The sequence below is a fragment of the Homo sapiens genome, chromosome 8 (assembly GCF_000001405.40).
Source record: "Homo sapiens chromosome 8, GRCh38.p14 Primary Assembly".
Taxonomy (NCBI): domain Eukaryota; kingdom Metazoa; phylum Chordata; class Mammalia; order Primates; family Hominidae; genus Homo; species Homo sapiens.
This window is the reverse complement of record NC_000008.11, coordinates 89,614,342-89,633,159: the sequence shown is the minus strand read 5'-3', so window position 1 is coordinate 89,633,159 and position 18,818 is coordinate 89,614,342. Positions and strand designations below refer to the sequence as shown.

Below are 18,818 nucleotides of genomic sequence, written 5' to 3'. Positions count from 1 at the left end.
TTTAGCAGAATATTGGGAAGTATATGTAAGGGCCTTGCCACACTCTAAGGAGGATTCCTGATAGGCATTGGAGCCTCCAAGCCCAGTACTTTTGCCCTAACTTTATTCCATTTTGACCACAGCCCTCGAAGGAGATGAAAAATGCCAGGAGCCACATGAAGATACTTTTCACTTGAATCTACAACTGAGGACAAACATCCTTTCTTCCTCACAGCAAAACTTGGGAGAAAGTTCTTTTCTGCAGATTTATCTGGCACAGTAGTCAATCCAAAAATTGAGCTCCTATGCCAAATTCTTTCATTTGATAAAGATTGGATTGCTGAGTAGCAAGCAATGATGCATTTTCCTAATTCTTATCTGCATCAGTAAAGCTTGTGGGGTGGAGGATGGCTTTTCTCATCACCTAGAGAATAAACCAACATGTGATTTTCTGCTTCTCACATCACACTGTTAAAAAAGAAACAAGGGTGCATGCATATCAGGCTCACATAGAGAGAGTCGCTGAAAGCAGAGTTGCCAAATCTTTTTGGAGAACATTCTTGTTCTCCTTACCACCCTGGCATCCTTTGTGGTGAGTAGCTTCCTGTACAAAGGAAGAGAAGTGAGCCTGACAGAATTTAGATTCTACATGAGGTCCTGTACTTTGTTAGTTCCTATGAGGATTGCCTTTACCAAAGCTTTACGGATTCAATTAGTTTTCATTTCAGCAAATATTTTATACTTTGCAGTCTAGTGATTAACCCATTGATTGTCTTTTTGCCTTTTCAAGTGCAGCAACTTAGACATTTTTATTATTACCCTGTAAATTCTTCAGACTTGCATTCTGTGGCATTGGCTATGTAGTCTACATTTTGTAAGCTCTTTTAATTGCTTCTCTGAAGTGTGGACTTATTTTGAGAGAAGGTCACAGTAGTTTTCATTAATCCAATGTTACTTTCGTAGTCCTATGACTTTGATTTAAATACAAAATTCCATTAGGTTTGCCTATTTCATCAAATGAATGTTTTCCATTTTGTAAGGAGTCTTTCCTTTATAAAAGGTCAGCCCCATTGATGTAGTTTTGGTTACATTGCTATTTTTGTGGGCCATAAGTAGACAATTTCATAGCCCACTAAGGATGGGTAGGGGTGGGAGGGGTGATGACTATGCAGTCTGTAAACCAAACAGTCCCCTGACTTCTTATATTTCTTGTTCCTTAATTATTGGACATTTTCTTCATCTCCTGATTTTTTTTGGAAAAGGATGAGGTCTTAGGGATCAAGTAGAATTTTAAATAGTTAACTTTGCTATAATTGACATTTTAGGTTAAAATGAACCTTTCAGATAAGCATAGAACAAGCTGTGCTTGTTTCAAAATAATATAATTCAACTTTAACTTGATAAAAATATATTGAGACTAAACTATGAACTGGAGGTTAAAAATATACATGGCTTCTTTTATTCAGGAGTTTACGGTATAGCAGGGAGATAACTTCTAACAGAGAAGATCTGTTTGTGTTTTGAATATTTTAGAATAACAGAATGTGAATACTTACTACAGTGGTAGTAAACAATCTTAATTATTTATTTAGGTCCCTGTCTTCGTATCCTTTCTAAAGTTCTTTGAACGTTACTCTAGCTTAAATAAAAACTGGAACTATGTGCATTTGGAAGGACTTGTGTAGGGTAGCTTCCACTTTAAAAAGACATACTAGTACAAGAAATGCTTAGAGAAGAACCAAATCAATCAAGGTTAGAGTGATTTCCACAAGTGGACTGATAAAATAGTGATGACTTGGAGGAAATATGATTGCAGTCTATATACTTGCTGAATACACTCCAAATTGGATACAAACTGGCACACCAAATACATGTAATTTACATACAAATGAGCACACCAAATTTTAGAATACTGATGTTTGCAAATCTTAAAGCTTGAAAGAGGTCACTTTAGGACAAATAATAGCAAGTGCTGCTTTACACAATAGATAGTTATACGAATCATTCAGGCTGAGACAATAAGTGAGCCTTTTGAGGCTGATATGTAGGGCAACTTACCATGCTCACCCATAAAATATCTCTTGCTCATATTGCTAGTGCCAGGATATGGTACTAAATGAATATTTTTAGTCTCATTATGGTCTCACATAATATCATTAATTCTTAGAGTTCCTATCTTTAAATGAGTTAAAAGACACCTTTGAAAAAATGTTCCTAAATGTCTCAGTGTGTATCGCACATGTTTAGGTACAAAGTGCGAAAGAACCACATTAATTTTTCCTTTGTATATTTTACACTCAGAGATGGCCAAGGAAAAATGCTATTTTTGCCAAACACAAACTAACCAACAACTGTTATGTTTTGCAATGTATGATACTGCCTGAGTGTCTAATAGAGGAATTACTTTTCCCTCAGGCACTTTTAAAGTAATTCAAAGTGTTATGTTTCATCAGTGGGTAATTATGTTCCTCCACTAAGCTTATAATAACAGTGAAGTCAGATATGTTCCTCTTGCTTTTTAGTAGTACAGTTCTAGTAATATTTGCTGAAAGAATGAGAAAATTCAGCAAATCTAGCAAGACTTGCTGAATCAATGAGTGAATGAATGAACAAATATGATTTGAGTCCGTCTTTTTGTCCTTTTCTGCTCAGAGCAATGGGCTAATCACCATGTGTGTAAGTGCATATTGGACCATACATGAAGTCATTATTCCTAATGATATAAATGTGATTTTTAAAGAAACTAAATTCCAACTTGAGATGATTAAATAATAAATATATAACAACTATATACCTTATAGATGGTATTAAGTCAGCATCATATTTAATTCCAAGGAGTGTTGAGATGTTTGCTAATAGTTTTTGGGATTTTCCTAGGAATTGTATACAATGTCTGGTTGAAGCATTTTCAGTAATATACATTCACCCCACCGTGTATTTTTGTGCAATGATATACCAGAAAGGCATTTTGGTAATTAAATGTGATAGTATATGTAAAGGCTACAGTGCATGGGACAAATTGATTGTTCAATAAACATTAGCCATTATTATGTTCTTATCATTGCATAACCACTAGCTTCAGGCTTACTATTGTGAAAAGGTAAAATTACCACAAATTTAGTGTAAAGATCTTATTGGCTTTTGTTTATAATTCTAAAATCAGGCACACCTCATTCTATAAAGTAGAATGAGTATTTTGATGAGCTGGGCAGAGGAGGTTGGCTTTACAGGCAGAAAAGGGCTGAGGAAAGCAGGAACAGAGAAGAAAAAGTGGATTGGTCATTTCAAAGTTACTTTCTTTGTAAAGTTCAAACTAGAGGGGACTTCCTTACCATGCTGGCTAAAACCCACCTGTTCTTAGGGTTTTGGATTCTCTCTCCCAGGTTCTTGGAAGGTCAGATAAACAACTTATTTTTGGTGTGGTTGTGTGGAACTTCAGGATGAGTAACTAGATTTGGTTTGGTCTGTTTCATCTAGTGCAGGAGCTCAGTCCAAACCAGTGGCCTCCTATAAATTTTATTTAACGCTACTTAATAACCATGGAGATATTTGATCTCCCTATAAACCTTAGAATGCTACACCAGATCTTCAGTTCCTCATCTGAAAGGGTCTTCATTTTAATTTTCCAAAATGATTGAAATACAGTTATATGTAGTCTTCCATCAGCTTTCAAAAATATAGTTTCTCAAAAGCACTATGGCTAGATACATTCTAGGACAAGTTAAATTAATTTAGAACCTGTTTGGTAGTTTGGAGAGTGGGGTCATATAAAGCCTTAAAGGTATTACCCAGATCCACATGGGCAAGAGTACTCCACTGTGGTCTGTATGTAATGTAGTTTACATTTTCCCAATGATGTGCTAATTACACTGATAATGGCTTTATGGTTTTGTTTTTTTTTTTTAATAGAATCTCTCTCTGTCACCCAGGCTGGAGTGCAGTGGCGTGATTTTGGCTCACTGTATCCTTCGCCTCCCTGGCTCAAGTGATTCTCCTGCCTCAGCCTCCCAAGTAGCTTGGATTACAGGTACCTGCCACCACGCCTGGCTAATTTTTGTATTTTTAGTAGAGATGGGGTTTCACCATGTTGGCCAGGCTGGTCTCGAACTCCTGACCTCAGGTGATCTGCCCACCTTGGCCTCCAAAAGTATTGGGATTACAGGTGTGAGCCACCGTGCCCAGCCAGCTTTATGTTTAAAAAAGGAGTTATTGTGTTTTATAAACATGAGCAAGATAACAGATAGAATGCTTTCTTTACTTTCTTGCCAAATTCATTCCTGTCCAGGACCTACCTCAACAGTCCTATTGCCTTTTGCTCTCTCCTTGTTCACTGTGCTTTCTTTACATTCTTGCCAAATTCATTCCAGGGACTCAGAGGTTTAAAGTCTAGATTCATATAGCTTGTAAATGGTAGAGCTGGGATTCCAGATTTTCTTTAAAATGCTACAGTTGGGGAGAAGGTAACAGATAAAACAGGATTGATCATGAATTGGGAGTTCAGGATACTATTCTCTTGTCATATATGATTTGCAGGCTTCCATAATAAAAAGTTTAAAAACAAACAAATATAATGAGAACCCTCCCAATAGGTCGGGAAGTAATTAGAAATTATTTAATCAATGGTGCATATTTTGTGATATGCAAAAGTCCCCAGCTGCTTTCTTTCTCAAGACTGTGATCCATGTTCGGCAAAGTGCACGTTCCAGTTGTGATCACAGTACTGTCATTTGCCTCTGGGCCTGTGATTCTCAATCCTGGCTACAAAGTGGCTTTGTTCAAGAGTCCTAGGAACTTGACTCTGCTTGTGGGTGTGTAGCTACAGAACTAACACTATCAGATTCTTAGCCTTTATCCCCCTTGCCTGTATTCCATTTTCTGTAGAGGTTGTTGGCTTCCATCAGGGGTGGTCATTTCCAATCAGACACCTAAGAACTCCTGCTAATGGGCAATGATGGAGGCACATTCTAGATGGAGGCACATTCTAGAAACGCTTGAAACTGTGTGTTGCTTTGGACAGCTGTTTCAGGTACGTGCTGGAGTGGGAATGGGATCAACCTCTCAACATTTTTCTTGTATGGTGATGTGTTGTTAATGTAATAGCTTTGATTTTAAAACTACCCTTATTTCCATACTTTCAAATCCAACAAATTAGGTAATTTGCAGTTGGTTTCCTATTCATTGATGCCTGTTATTAAGGCCTATGGTTTTCTTTCTTTAGTTAAATAAAGTGTATCAAGATTATAAATTTATTCTAAACATTTGAGAATTCAAAATCATGCAGCATGACAAACTTCTTTCATTTTACTTCTCCTCAGGTAGTAAAGATATATTTTTGAAGTGACAAACACACATTAAAAAAAACTGAAGGAGTCTATTGTACATGTGTTTGTTAGTATTGTTGCAGATTTCATTAGAATTCTTTCACATCAGTCATTTAATGGAGTCTCAGCATGTAGAAAGAGTGGATGAAAGACCATGATTACTTATTTACATTTTCAAAAATTTGTTTTCTTTAGGTGTTTTTTCCTGTTTCCACTTTATGTTGAGTATTATTTACATACAGTATACGCAGCATCATAAGTTTATGAATGCCGGGTTTAATGAATCACCTAGCACAGACCGTATATTTAAGTAGAACACACTTACAAATGCCTGATATAGAGAGCAATGATGTTAATAAATGGTTGCCACTTCCAAACTTTGGGTACCCTGCACAGATTTCAGAACCATGCACAGGAGAGTTAGGGTTAATGGTTGATAAAACTGTAATTCAGGGAATGTTCCTACCCACACAACCTCGCTCCTCTGCTTACAGCATGTATTGGTCTTCACATCATTCCTCGACTATCATCCAAACCCTTTAGGATGGACCTTTATAACCTGTCCAGGACCTACCTCAGCAGTCCTATTGCCTTTTGCTGCCTCCTTGTTCGTTGTGCTTTCTTTACATTCTTGCCAAGTTCATTCCAGGGACTCAGAGGGTTTAAAGTCTAGGTTAATATAGCTTGTAAATGGTAGTGCTGGGATTCCAGACTAGATTTGTTTGATATCTTTCAATTTGTCTAATTTAAAATAAAATATATTATTTCTCTTCGGGAAAATGGAGGAAGGAAGGCTTTACTTTCTGTAGAACATTTATATAGGGGAAGAATAATAATTTTTTTCTCCAACATTCTTAGACTTAGTTGAAATGGATCCCTGTAATGAAAGACTGATTAAAAAAATAAAAACAAACAGAAGTTCATTAACATGTATATTTCTCATATACATGGGAGACACCCAGGGAGTGAGTAATTCTCAACAAGATAGCTTGTTCTGAAAATATTCCAAGGCTGATGTTTCCTTTAAATTAGTCTAGAGATTGAAATGTTAAGCACATTGTCTCTGGATTGAATGTAGTCATTAGATGTGTTTAGTTTGATTGCTAGTGTAAAAAATGTTGAATTTGAATGTCTTTAGAGAAGACTCATACTCTAGTTCTGCCACAAACCCTACCATTTTCTATTCTTTTAACAGCAGACATTCATTTATATATTTGAGTGACCCCTGACGGCCTTTCAGATTTGATCTTTGCTTGAGCATTGAGGATGAACTGGCTGTCTAAATGACAAAATGATACTCATGTTTTGATTAGTAGTTGTACCTTAACTTTAAAAATTGAAATTCAATTGGATTTCACCACTAGCTGTGAAGACGAGCTACGTATCTTCTGTAAGTCTCAGTTTCCTTATTTGTAAAATGGAAAAAAATAATAATCTCTAACACTGGGGTTGTTGTAAGGATCACATTAAAAGATATCTGGTATGTAATACTACATGTTCAATAATTGAAGATATTATTGTTGTCTTCTATAGCCTTACCAAGTAAGTCTTCAAATACCCATGGTTGATATCAATACTAATAGAAGTAACCTTATAAAAAATAAACATTTATAGTGTAATGTCTATGCTTGTTATAGTTATTAACCTCAATAAGTAAAGATGGCAATATATTTTAGATTACTTCCATTTTGAAAAACCTACTTTCTAATAAGTTTCTGGGAGTGATTTTTCAGCAAGGAATATGGTGCATGGTTTTTGGCCATAACTCCTTTTCTTAGGGTGTTATCTGTCATTGGTAAGAAGTGCCTAGGACCCAGACACATGGGATTCCCTTAAGCATTTGAAAGGACTAAAGGAAGGTAATTTTTTGGTGGCTGAAGAGTGGAAACAATTACCATATCATTATTACATGGTATGGTTGATGTACGTTTTGGCCCAAATTTCTGTGGAAACATGACTTACCAAATGACTTTACCACTGTGCCCATTTGTGTAGCACAGATGGGGATGCAAATAGCAGTATGAGAGAGCGAGTTACCATCGTGCATCTGCCTTTAGTGACCATGGAACATCACATAAACAAACACATAGGCAGCAACCAGTCTACATTTTAAATAAAATATCTTTGCCTTTTAAAAAATAAATAACCTTTTATTTGTTGGTAGATTTTAGTTACATTTAATAATAATATAAACACAGAAAGCCTAGGAGACCAATGAATTTTATAAGCACAACTATCATCTTTGGGGCAATGGTTTGTAATATAATAAATTCTTCCCATTAAATTGCCCTGAGTATGCCAACAATCTTGCCAAATATGTTTATCTGGGTATACAATAGCAGCATATTTGGCATATGGACAATAGAAACTTTCTAATCCCACATTCTTGCAGGAAAGAAGGTGAAAGCTAGTAAGGTATAAAATAAAATTTTATAATGAGAAAATTTTGTAATGAGAAAACCTAGCTTTAGGGGCATAGTTCCAATACGTACTATCTGAATCTTCATTTAACCACTCTCCTTATAGATACAGCTGCAGTATCCCCATTTTTCAGATGTAGAAACTGGCAATCAGGAAGGTTAAGTAAATTTGCCAAGGTCATTCATCTAATTAGGGCCTAAGTCAAGATTTTGAACCCTTGCTTGACTTCAAAGCCTGGGCTCGGTACCTCATGATCCACCTCCTCATAAAGAAGTGCTGTCTAATTATGAGTCATTATTCACGGGACTGGAGAACAGGTGTTCACCCTAGTCCTTGGGACCAGAAAGGTGAGACCAGGAGAATAAAACTCAAGAAATGACAGAAAACTCTCCCTAGGGCTGCCTCTGAGAACAAATTAGAAGACAGGACCCTAAGGCTGAGTCAGAGGAGTAGCTACCAGTAATTAATCAGTTTGACGAATGGCTGCACGCACAAAAGGAGACCAGCTGAATTGGGAGGCAAGAAAACAAGGGAACCTACAATGCCAGTGTAGATTTGGCCAAAGCAGGAAGAAATTTGGAAAAGGAAGAGAAGGCAGAGGCAGCATGAAATAGGCTACAAGATTCTGATTCCTGTTACTTTTTCACATGTCTTTGGGAACTTCCTGCTGGGAGGACAATGCACTGCCCAGGGGGCTGGACCCTTTGCATTACAGGCATGGGGGATGGCAGGGGAACCCCACCAGGAATAATTTAACAGGGGTTTGGGAGGAGGGAAGGAGGAAACGAGAACCACACTGGACAGAGAAAAGCCATCAAAAAGTGAGCTGAATTTTCATTTTTATATGCAGAATGGTACAACTTAATTCCTCACTCTGTATGGATATTGCCAGGGAGTGATGGAGGGAATGCCCAATGAGACAGGTCATCTGTTTCAGTCTTGCTAGAAACTCATCTTTGATTGGGAAAAAAAACTCTCTTCTGTGAATGTGACATTCCTGGGTTTTTAACAACAGATGTAGGGGGTGCAGGTTAGGGCAACAGAGAGAAAGGCCACTGGGGGATCACAGACAGGTCTGGCCACACCTTGCCTCACTCTTTTTTCACCCTCAGTCTACACCCTTGAATGACCTTTTCCATATATGCGTAGGGAAGAAACAAATTTTGCAGTGGCAGTATCCTGAAAATGTCATAACAATATGAAAAATGGTAATTTCCCATAGGAAATTAGGTTTTATGGGCTTGAAGCTTTCATACACTTTTGTATTCTTCCTTTTTTTTAAGTGACATTTTCTCTTCTTTGTACTTGTTAGCATTATGGAACCAGCCATTGGTGTGAAACAGAGCTGCCAAACATAATACAGAATTCTATAAGACTCAGAAAATTGAAACTCTTAGTCACTACACAGGGCCCAATTTCAGGTGCATTACATGCTCTGTCATATCGAGTAAGACTGCTTCAAGCTCTGTCACTATTACAGCCGCACATCCCACATATCATTCAGTTGCTGCAATATTTTCACTTTTTTTTAAACTACTTTATCCATTGACATTGGTGCTGAATACTGATGAGAATGACAGAGCTGCACAATGCCAAAAGCATTCAGGGAATTTAATCTCAATTCTAAATGCATATGCTCGACTTCTGCAGAGACACTTAGAATATTAAAGGGCTGGGGGAAATGGTTTTGAAAGATTTTAATCATACAATAGCTAGGTACAAAGAGGCTTAGATATAGATAAGAGAATTATTTTTAAAAGCTTCATACAAAGATATGAAAGCAGGGAGTGAATTTAAGGGTCTTTCCTTTAACAACTTCCAACTTTTCAGTACCAATTGAACACAAGAGTATACTGCCATTTACTTTGGGAAATGAACTAATCTGGAAATCTGATGTTGCTTTTGTTTCTAATTATTGAATAAAATACATTTACTAAGAACCACTATGCACCAGAAAGTTAAATCATAAAGTTCCATGGTATCTGTGCTCTCACAATGTAGAGGTAATGTTCTAGAATATCTATGTGATATGGTTTGGATCTGTGTCCCCACCGAAATTGCATGTTGGATTGTAATCCCTAATGTTGGAGGTGGGACCTGGTGCGAGGTGACTGGGTCATGGGGCAGATTTCTCATGAATGATTTAGTACCATCCCCTTAGTACTGTCCTCATGATAGTGAGTTCTCTCAAGATCTGGTCGTTTAAAAGTGTGTGGCACCTCCCACCCCGCTCTTGCCCGTGCTTTCACCGTGCAATGTGCCTGCTCCTGCTTTGCCTTCTGTCATGATTGGAAGCTTCCTGAGACCTCCCCAGAAGCATATGCCACCATGCTTCCTGTACAGACTGCAGAACTGTGAGCCAAATAAGCCCCTTTTCTTATAAATTGCCCCATCTCAGGTATTTCTTTACAGCAGTGTGAGAATGGACTAATACACTATGCAACCTTTTTTAGCTGAGGGTGCTATGGTGGTTATGTCCCTAACTCTTTATGACTTCTTCTTGGGAAGTCTCATTTAATTGGGTGCTTTCATAATCTTTTATTCTCTTCTACCAGTGGTTCTGTGGCAGGACTAATCATATTAATTTGATGTTGAATAACCCCACCTTTCAGGATGCCAACCCGGTGTAGAGGGTATGCATAAAGTATATTTGTACTAAAAAATGATCTATTATTTATCTGAAATTCAAATCCTATTGGGCATCCTGTGTTTTTAATTGCTAAATTCGGCAACCCTACCTGGGAGTCCTGTATTTGTATAATCCACATTTCTTTTATGAAAAAATGATGGAGTTATTCAACGTGCATGCATGTGTGTGTGCGTGCATATATACACACATGCACACAGGCTCGCATTAGTTAATCTTTCAGGAAAGCAAGTTCTAGGGCAATGCTGGAGTTAGCACTCACTCAGCTCTGTTCTGCATTTCTGAGCTGAAGAACCTTCTACCAAGTGGTTACCTCATCTTCTAGAAAACCCTTTTTTTTCCTCTTCAGTATAGATGCCCGCATCTTTTCATCTCTTAACGTTATCCAACTCTATATTACTTATTATTAACTAATTCAGAAATTATAATTTATTTCATTAGTCTGTAGTTTATTGATGGGTGTGAAGGAGGAATAATCCTTATCATTTTAATGTATATGCCAGAATGCATTCTTTAGGAGAACTCAAGCATCAGTTGAGGAAAGCCTAAAAATTCTTCATAATCAGAAATTAATAACAATAGTATTAATATTCATAATAGCATTAATAGTATTAGCTGAATACATATTGAATGCTCTATTTCACATGTATTACCTAATTTAATTAGGAGGTCAGTATTATTATTTGATTGCTGTTTTAGAGAGATAAAGTTCAAGTTACATACCTACAGGTGGTAGATTCAAGCACAGGTATGCCAACTTCAAAGCCTGTGCTCGTAACCACTCATTATTCTATACTGACAATTCTGCAAATGTGACCTCAGGTCATACTTTCCTCTAAGTTTTCTAAAACACTTGACTCTGAATAGAATCCTAGGTATAAGCAGTATCACAGAAATTGCATCTTTAATATTGTAATGAGTTTAGAGCTCTTCTGATATTTCTTCAGGTGAATCAGCTTCCCTCAGAACTCTGCTTAATAACATTTCATATTTTGAAAAACATTCTGGTTCATTAGTTGAATCAATGAGGTAACAATGGAGAGAGGAAAATGCTAAAAATATTAACAGCTAGTAACCCTGCTTCCTCAGGGTGAGTTCTTCAATATTATAGCAGTAGAATAGCTTTGCTGTCTTCAGCTAAGCATATAGTTCAGAAATTAACCTTCACTAAATGTATGAAATGATGATAAAAATACAGAAAGTGTTTTTCATTCATCCATGAATTAGCTCAAATTCTGTATGTAACAAGGAGAAAATATCTTTGGAAGCTTTAAAATGATGGTATTTTCTAAGTTATAAGAAATTTAAGATTTGCAAATACTAGAACAATCAATTCCCTTTTATTCCCTTAAAACCTAGGTGAACTTGATTCACTGTCTAGATAATGGCAGGTTTTGCCAAAGTAGACTCTTATGAACAGCAAGGTAGAACCCTTCAAAAAGACTGGACACCTTCATTTGGCTGTCGTTTTCACACTGTTCATCTGCCTAGTTCTAGGGTTTGTATTAGGTTCTAGGTTTACAGGGATGTGCTTTTAAGAAGGTCACAATTTGGCTGTTGGGGCAATGGAAGTAAATGGGGAAACATAAGAATTACTGTACTGTGGAGGGTGCTATAATAGATTTAGGGACAAAACATGATTGAAAGGAAGATCACCCCTCCTAGGGGAAGGTACCAAGAAGGCATCTTGGAGGAAATGACATTTGACCTGGATTTTAGGGGATGAGTGAGGTTTTGGCCTCAATCTGGATCTATTGGAAAAACTCTATAGTTCTTTGCCTTCAAAGTTTTCAGATTTTCTTTCAAGTTGCTGTTTGTCTTCTCTGATGTGTTCTATTTTGAAATATCAAATTAATCATCAGAAAATGCTTGTCAATGAATGAATTGCATTTGCTCAATATACACATATTTATTTTCAGGTAGCTTTGAACACATGGTAAGGAAATACATTCATCTTTTCACTGAGAACTGCTCACCTAATTGCTTGGTACAGTCATGTTCAATGATATGTAGTTGATTAAAAAATGACAAATACTGTGACCAGCTGCCCTTTTGATGTCAAATAATGTGGAAGATTGAACACCATGCTGATCCATTAGCCATTTCCAGGTCTGGCTCTTTTCAAGTTATGTACAGTCATTTTCTCTTTCAGAGAGAATATAACTTTTTAAAGCTTTATTCTTTGCTCTTAGCTTATGAAAGAAGGAATTCACACTTCAAGAGGTTGTCTGTACCTAATTGTGATTTATTAATTGGGTAGATTAGTTCAGGGTATAAATAGACAATGTTCCTGATGTTTCAAAGATATGCCATTGGCCCAGTGAATCAGGCTAGGGTCTTCGTGGCTCTCTCCATGACAGCATCAGTGTATACACTTTGCTGTGGCTTGAATATTTATATCCTTCCTCTCCAAATTCATGTCTTGGAATCCTAACCCCAAGATGATAGTATTAGGAGGTGTTAGGGGATTTTAGGAGGTGATTAAGTTACAATGGTAGAGCCCTTAAAAATGGGATTAGTATCCTTAGTTCACTCACCCTTTCTACCATGTGAGGACACACTAAGAAGGTACTCTCCATAAGCCGGAAAGCAGACCCTTTCTAGAAACTGAATTTGCCTTGATTTTGGACTTCCCAGCCTCCACAACTGTGAGAAAGAAATTTCTGTTGTTGATAAGCCACCTAGTTTATGGTATTTTGTAATAACAACCTCATTGGACTAAGACATGGTTGCAGTATTATATCTCCCTAATTGTCCATCAATCAGCCATATTTCAGTACTGTAACTGAAATGAGATTTTCTTGATCTCTCACAATTTTCACTAACCAGACTCTATTGCAAGTGAGATAAATCCAACTCAAACTAGCTTAAATAAGAATTTTGATTGTCTCATATTCATGGAAAGTAGAAAAGGTTAAAATTTTGGCATCTTTGGATCTAGGGATTCAAACCATGTCATCAGAAATTTTTTTTCTCTCTCTGTCTTTTATTTAACATTTCTCAGCTTTCCCTCCTAGTTGAATTCTTTTTCTGGCAGCATCTTCCTATGCAGTAGCAAAAATCAATGCTGGTTGCTTTACACTTACATTCTACTTCTAGAGACCCCAGAATACAGACTGATTGGATAGCTCTGGAAAAAATCCTGGGGATGAGTTTGAATTGACTGGATTTGGGTTCAAAGATAATCCATGAACAATCCACTGTTACCAGGGTGATTGTGTTCTCTGAGCAACACATCCTGTAATAGATGTCACCCTTGGTGCTGGAAGTTGGGGTCAGACTCCTGAGCCACTTGGACTGAGACTGGGGATGGGACATTTTCCAAAATATTCTGGGAAGAAAGAGTGTCTACTATAAACCTATAGACAGCCAAGTCAGAGTTTCAGCCAGTTCCGTGTGATCTTAGAACATCAATGTGAAAATATGGTCATCCATTCATTCAACAAATATTTAGACATTTTTCAATGCTATAGAATGCAATGATAAAAAAAAAAAGACAGAAATGTGCCTGCTTATATGGAGCTTACATTCCAGGTCAAGGCAGAAAATAAAATACTGAAAAATAAGGGCAAAAATATATTTTCAGGTAGTGGCAAGTTCTCTAAAGAACCTGTGTGGGGAAGTGGTCAATTTAGCTGGTGAAGTCAAGAAGGTGATATTTGTGCAGGGACTAACCATGGGGAAGTCTAGAGGAATACATTTCCATAGGACAGATGGCAAGGGCCTTGGGAGATGACTTACATGGCTTGGATTTTCTTTCCACTAAATTTTTTTCATTTCCCCATTCCTAGATGTCTATATCTCTAGCATTCTGTCTGTTGCATTCAGAACTAAATCTGAACTTATGACTACATGGGTTCTTAATTTTTGTTCACGTAAACAGTCATCATAATGATGATTAAATGATACCCATTTAATTTTGTAGTCGTGCTAGAGTTGAGAGTTGTGCTAGCATCTCTCTCTCCATTGCTAACTCTGTTCTCTTTTGTCAAAGTGACAGCTGTTGTCACTTCCAATGCTTCTATTCTCCCCTGCCACTTCTGTTGCTTGTCATCTTGGCTGTTTGCCATTTGCTTATTTTTCCTTTTTCTTCTCTCTCTCTCTGTTTTTTTCTGCTACTTGGTCCAGACGGCTTGGATTTTGCACAAATTGGCTTGGCTCTTACAGTCATTACTAACTATTTAGAGAGAGTATCCTTTCATTTAATGTAACAAATCGACCAATCATAGCATATTCTATGTAATTTTCAGCTCTTCTCTTCTTAACAATTTTGGTGTGATTTTTTTTTTCCTCTTCTAGAGGTACTTACCCTTCCTCCCCATTGGGTGCCATCCTGAAAGGTTGAGACTGCAGGACAGCTGATCTATCTGAGTCATTATTCTATTTGCTTACTTGCTTTTTGTACCCTACATCTACACTAAAGCCAAACACCTGTATTCTTGCTATTTATCAAATCCTTTGAACTTAATCGTGGCAACATTTCTCACATTTATGCTTTTTCCTTACTGCCTTCAACAAAACCAGCCTATTTCAGATTCTTACAATCTCATCCCTGTACAGCAACCTTCAGCTGTTCATATTTCTCTCTATCTTTCATGATCCTTTATGTTTTCACCCAAGTTATCCCCCAAATGCTACTTTCATAGTATCATCCTCGTGATCAAAATCTTTCAAAATCTTATCACTAAATAGAATGAAAGACCAAGTCTTTAGCCTGGCATTCAGCACACTTCATGATAAGTTATGAATCCACTGTTTTCAATGCTCACTCTAGAAGTTCTCTAGGATCTCAGCTCTAAGCAAATTAATCCAAGCATGGTCTCTAATGCATACTGAATAGTCTTGACTTCACACTTTTGTTTTGAAACTTGACTCCTCTCATCGCCCAGAATTTTCTCCCTGTTCTTCTTTGTCTCTATAAATATAACCAAAAATATGGTTCATATTTCTTAGCTATTTTTGAGTCCTGTGTGATGACCAAAGTTGCAAGTTGTGATTCCTTTCAAATCATTGTAGAATTTAATATATGAAACTCATATTCTAATATTGTTTTTGCATATGTGTAGAATATCTGCCAACTTGCTTATTATATATTTCTCTCTATCCTTTTATTTCTTTGTGTCCTTCATAGTGCCATAGTCTAATGTTCTCTTCAAAATATGCATATTGAGTGATTTTATTCTTATTATTGTAGTTTTATGATAATATGGAAGACCATGTAGGAAAGCTAAACTCATATATAGATATCGATATCTATGTAGATCTTATCATACATTATTTTATATTTCTATCTATCTATATCTATCTCTGTATCTAGATCATCATCTATCTATATATATCAAGAGTATTTCTTCAGATGGATGAATGCTGATAGCTATAAAGTCTGTATTTTCATACAGTCAAGTTCCCTTGAATCTTTACTTTTAATATTTCATTTCTGAGATGCTAGAAAAGATCCCTAACCACTAAAATAAAAATTCATATTCACAGCCTTTTGTTAGAGCTTAAATGTATTGTTATTTTTCCACATATTTTTCTTAAAAACAAAGTACCAGCAATAACAGTAGGTGTCGCTATAGCAAAAGAAAACGGACATTAAGAATGATGTTCTTTTTTTTTCTTTTCCTTTTTCTAGGAAACATTGCAGCGTTATAAGAGAAATTATAGACTATTTGTTGAAGCTCAGCATGTCCATCTCCCTGCTTTGAAGAAGGCAAGCTTCATTAAAACCAACATCTTACTTGGCCTAAAACATCTTTGGAGTAGGAGATTTATGGCCTTTCTGGGAAAGTAGTTCTAATTTTTATAAACCTTAGAATTAAGAAGTTCTTTTGTAAATACAATTATAATTCTTTCTTCTCGATTTTGAGTCATTTATTCTTATTCAATATCCATAAAAGTAAATAATTGAAATACATATTTCCTCACCAAAATTTTATTAATTACCTACATAATTTATCTATTTAGGAAATGGAATTAGAAACCTGTACCTTATAAAATTGATGGTGAACATGAAATGAGGTATTATATGCATTAATTCACTTATTTATTAAACAAATTTAGTTGAGTACCTGCTGTGTACCAGGCATGGTGGTTGTAATACGGATAATGTCCTTGCCCTTATGGTGCTCATAGTCCAGCACATTTATAGAGGTTCCTACACATCATGAAGTTTAAATTACTATTCAAGAGTAAAAGACATAAATTATTATTATTGAGATCTCAGGCCTAGTCAATTTCTAGGAAGCCATTTTAGTCTTCCATTTAGGAAAAATATTAGTAGGTATTATCAGCTCTTTTTCATTTGGCATCTATTCACTCTTCTGTTAATAGCTCCCAGATAATCCTCCAGGCATCAACCCACTCACTTTCAGGTCTTGTGGTTTGAGTGACACTGATTCCTCTCCAGCCTCCACAGGCGTCCATGAGACTCAGATCTAGTCAATTAGGGTTTTATATCCCAGTTATCACAAACCAGACCCTCCATGGTCCATCTGCTGCTTCTCTTTGGACCTGATCTCCTATCACTGACTGTCTCACATCACACCTGTACATACCATGGTGGTTTTGCTTATGTTATTTGCTTATTTATCTTGCTTATCTTGGCCTCTTTTCCTGGGATACCCTTCTCCTGCCTCTTCCTTTGTCAAGTCTGTCCATCTTTTAAGACCTAGCTAGTCAACTCTCCTTCAAAAGGCTTTCCCCTCCTCAAGTTGGATAAAGTGTCCCTTCTGAGAGCTTCCTCAATCTCTGGGCAGTTCTCTATCTGCAATTATGCACTATTTTCATAATATGCTGCCTGTGTCTCTGTTTCCACTTAGATGGTGCACTCCTGCTGTCTGAATTTTACTTCTCTATGTGTTCCTAGCACCTCGACTGATGCCTGGGACCCTGTGGTCACTTGATCTAGGCTTGTTGACTGAAAGTACTTAAGACGACTGTGGCAGAAACCTGTCTTTCTGTAACATGCCTTTGCTGAATTGCGCAGTTCTGAAGAAGAGTAGTTCAAATGACTGTGTATTGAATCATTCGAACACCCCAGGCTTTATGTCTCTGAGAGAAGGAAAGTTACATTCATTAGCTTCCTTAGGTTTGCCTTAGGGAATGATATCAGGACTTCATTCAACAAGTATTTATTAAGTTATGTAGGCTTCCTGGATCATTCAAGCTTGCTGTGTTTTTCTCCTCTGATCTTCAGCATGTACAGCCTGGGCTATTAATTTGGCGATTAATCATATACTATCTTGTGACTTTTTTTTGTAATGTATTTTCAGGTAGTACTTAGCCTATTAAACATTTTACACCCTTACATATGAGTAGGGATTATTCATTCATTAGCATATTGATTATTTCTTCATTAAATATGTTTTGAGAATTCATTATGGGTTCATATTATTTTTCTTTTTGCATATTGTATCAGTTGAGGTTCTGTTTAGACTAGCAACAGAAACTTGCCAATTTAATAACAAAAACAATTTATTGAAAGGATGTTGGGAACTGACTGTAAGGAAGACAGGATTGGAGAACCAGGTTTAGAAGAGAAAAGGCAGTGCCAGAAGTTTTTGATTGGAGAAAACTACAGGGTAATGTTGCACAAGAACCATTGCTGGTAAGAATGAACTCTCTTTCTTTCCTCTTTCCATTGTCATCCTTATCAAGACTTAATGTTCTGAGAGAACATGGCCAAATTCAGGCCAGGAGTTTGTTCCTTAGTTGTGCTAGTATCGTGGGTGGGAGGACTTGAAAGAAAAAGTCTGAAAGGATTTTCTTAGCTTCAAGTAAACACCAAAGCAGTTGAGGAACTCTGAAGAAATGTCTGGATATTGCGTAGTTTGAACAAATGATAAGTATCAGCAGTTACACTTACTTGTTCACACAGATGTGCTATCAAATCCCAGCATTGCCAGTGACTAAGTGTATGGCTTTGTGAACATTTCTTACCTTCTGTAGGTGCCATTTTTCTCATCTATAAATGGGGATACCAATATATATTCTTACATGATGGTTTTAAGGATTACATTAAATAAGATGTGTCCTATAAAAGGTGCTTATTACAGTGTCTGTCACATAGTAGCTACACGATAAATGATGGCTATTATTGATTGACCTATGTGCACACAGCATGAGGCTATTCTCTATACATTAGGCAAAAAAGAAACAACTGGTATCTCAGACCTTGAACTGTTTGCAGTTTAATGAGAAGAAAGGGCTTATGTGATTTAATTTAATCCTCACAACTACCCTGGAATTAGGCAGAGAAAATTTTATTATTTCTGTTTTTCATATATGCAATCAGAGAGAGTCAGAGAAGTTTAGCTACTTGACTATGGTCACACAGCTCTTATTTGACAGAGCTGAGGCTGGGGTCAAACTTACTAGATCAAATGCTCTTTAAATTTGGAGAGATAAGCATAGCTCAGTGAAGGACAGAGTTACTCAACTCAATTCCA

At 36.7% G+C, this 18,818-nt stretch overlaps 1 long non-coding RNA gene across 1 annotated transcript; it reads left to right on the top strand.

The window, feature by feature from the left end:
- Positions 1-4,100: 4,100 nt before the first annotated feature.
- On the top strand, positions 4,101-16,231 carry LOC112268015 (uncharacterized). The gene is made up of 2 exons (XR_002956661.2): positions 4,101-6,690; positions 16,004-16,231. It is a non-coding gene; the product is annotated as an uncharacterized LOC112268015 (long non-coding RNA).
- Positions 16,232-18,818: the final 2,587 nt, after the last annotated feature.